General features: G+C 39.6%; 1 annotated feature.

Moving 5' to 3' along the window:
• Nucleotides 897–1097: a silencer, noted in NCBI's record as "peak6518 fragment used in MPRA reporter construct". NCBI's record gives its function as "represses an SCP1 promoter by STARR-seq MPRAs in K562 erythroleukemia cells {active_cell/tissue: K562}" and the evidence as "EXISTENCE:reporter gene assay evidence [ECO:0000049][PMID:32103011]".

Below are 2621 nucleotides of genomic sequence, written 5' to 3' on the forward strand. Positions count from 1 at the left end.
TATTTATACCCAGTTTAAAAATCTGAGTCACTGACTGAGAAGTTGGGCAGGGAAGAGAGGCAGAACAGCTTCCTTCTCCATCATTTATTCACACCTTCAAGCCCAGCCCATCAACTTGCCCATCCTATTCCTTTTTCTTGTTTTAAACATAACTGAAAACACATCCCACCCAACTATCCTAAATATATTTCTGAGCATCAGTTTCTTTTTGGCTTTAGAATTTCTGATAACACTTTTCTGTGTCTTTGTCCTTTAGAGAAGAAAACATACCAGAATAGAGATGTGGATTCTGTTCTTGGCTATGCTATTTATTTGCTGTGTGAATTTGTAAAATTACTTAGTGTTTTTGACCCTCAGCCTCCTTCTCTGTAATGCGGGTATCATAATAACTATGCTGCCTATATGGTGGCATTAGCTTGAGGGTCAAAACCAGGGTCCACAGATGTTAAAATGTCCACTGAAAACAATGAGGTATTCCCGAAAGGTTACGTGTTATTTTGGTAGACTACTTACTATTGTTTGAATTTTAAAGCTTAGAAATTGATATTCACCGCAGCATGGCACATGAATAAAAGAGTCTGAATCTAATTAAAAGGTAATGTTCCGCTATTCAGATTCTTCTGCCTCGCATATCAGAAAGGCAGGTTTCTCCACTGGCATTCTTGGCTCAACTTTGAGAGCTGTGTTTATGCTGAGCTTCACTGGGGACAATCTCAAAGACACAATATCATGGGAATTGAATTGAATCACTGGAAAATATGATGTTAGGAAAACCAGGCAAGAACAACTTTCCAGTTTTATTTGCTCCACTTTTGCCCCTTTGATGAAGTGAGTCAGAAATTGGTAAATAGAAAGTTCGTTGCTCTTTTATGTGGAAATAGCATACTGAGTAACATCACAGGTCTCTTATGCATAGCATTTAAAAGCATCTTCTCTCTCTCTGTCTTTCGAACTGAAGGCCAAGGGAAGGGTTTGCTGTGTCATCTCTTCATCAGGTGTGGCGTTCCCAGATAAGACCAGACCACACTCCCAAGCTGAACTGAGGCCTAAAACAACAAGCTCATTGTTGCTGTGATTTTGTCTCATTCCCTTGGCAAGTTAAGTTCTCAACTATTTCAGATAATTCCTTTGGTTGGTTGATCTTTGTTTTACCTGTAATAGCATCTTTATCAGAATAATTCCACAGGTCTCCTCCTAGTTTAATCTATCTAATAATTTCCACCTACATAGCACTCTTTCACTACATTTCTGGAGGTGTGGCTTCTGTTTATTTTGTCATGTATGTACAATAGTCCATCACCAACAGCAAAAGTAAGTTAGTCAAAAACCTGATGGGGAGAGAATTTGCAACTGACATGCTTAAACTCCAGAGAAAACAGACGAGGAGTCCTCATAAATATTAATTATGTGCAGTAAAAAATCAGAATGCTGAAAGGGATGATAAATGATACTTCCCATCTTAAATGGATAACAAACAGTTCTGTAAAATTACTTTCTCAAGATTCCTTACTTGCCAGAGATGCTAGAAACACTGCCCCAGGAATTCCAATGAGATGGTTTGTCCACATTTTTGCTCTGATACAGGTAATATGCGTAGTAAGAGGCATTTTCATCTATGTGTGGGGTCCCCCATCAAAATATTCAATATTTTTCTGGTGTTATGAATCAGAATTTTTGCTTCCTGTTTCTTGGGTCCCATCTGAGGGCCTGGTACTTGGATATTTGATATGGGAACAGCCTTAAGTGTTTTCTAACAACCTCAGCATTGGTGACCAGGTAGGTACTTATCCGGTTCCATCTCCTGGAGGTGACAGTGTGGCATCCATGCTCAGACCATCTGAGTTCTAGTCCTAAGAACTCCACCAACCTATGCTTCCTTAGCCAAGTGACCAAGTGTACTCTAGAAGGCTTAGTTTTCCTGTCAGTAAAACGGAGGCAATCGCAGCAAGCATTTCCTGTCCTTGTTTCGAGGGCTGATGGAGATGGCGAGTGTGAAATGCACAGCAGGGCCCTGCACAGAGCAAGGGTGAACATACATCGTTATTCCTAACAAGCACCAGCATCTCCTCTTGGCTCTGTCAGACAACTTGGTGGCAAAACATGTGTTCTTGGCACCTTATGCACACATTTCAGTTTTGCATCCAAGAACTATGTTTCCTTGCACTTATTTGTACCAAGCTCTTCCAAGCTTTGTCTGAAAAGCCTCTTGCCATCACACCATTGCTCTTAGCTCCCAGCCCCAGTTCCCTTTTCCTGATTGTTCTCTGGACCTGTGAATCATTTCACACAAATTGGTCCCAAAATTCTGGCACTTACCAAAAAGTTATATGGAAATATGTCCCTATGCATTGACATTTCTTAGATAGGAAGTTCTATATTTGTGTTTCTTTTTTCTTTCCCAAATAAGGTTAGATTCTTTCAGCTATTTGTAATAGAAAACTTCAACTCAACTTGTTTAAACAATAAGGAATTTATTATCTTATATGACAAGAGATCTGAAGATAAAAGGGCCTCAGAGTTAGCTAATTCAGAGACTTAATGACATAATCAAAGATCCTTGATTTTGAAACTTGCTTACGGGTACCCTTCAGCCCTGAATGTTGCTACAATTCCACTCTTTC

This window comes from Homo sapiens, chromosome 7 (assembly GCF_000001405.40).
Source record: "Homo sapiens chromosome 7, GRCh38.p14 Primary Assembly".
Lineage (NCBI taxonomy): Eukaryota > Metazoa > Chordata > Mammalia > Primates > Hominidae > Homo > Homo sapiens.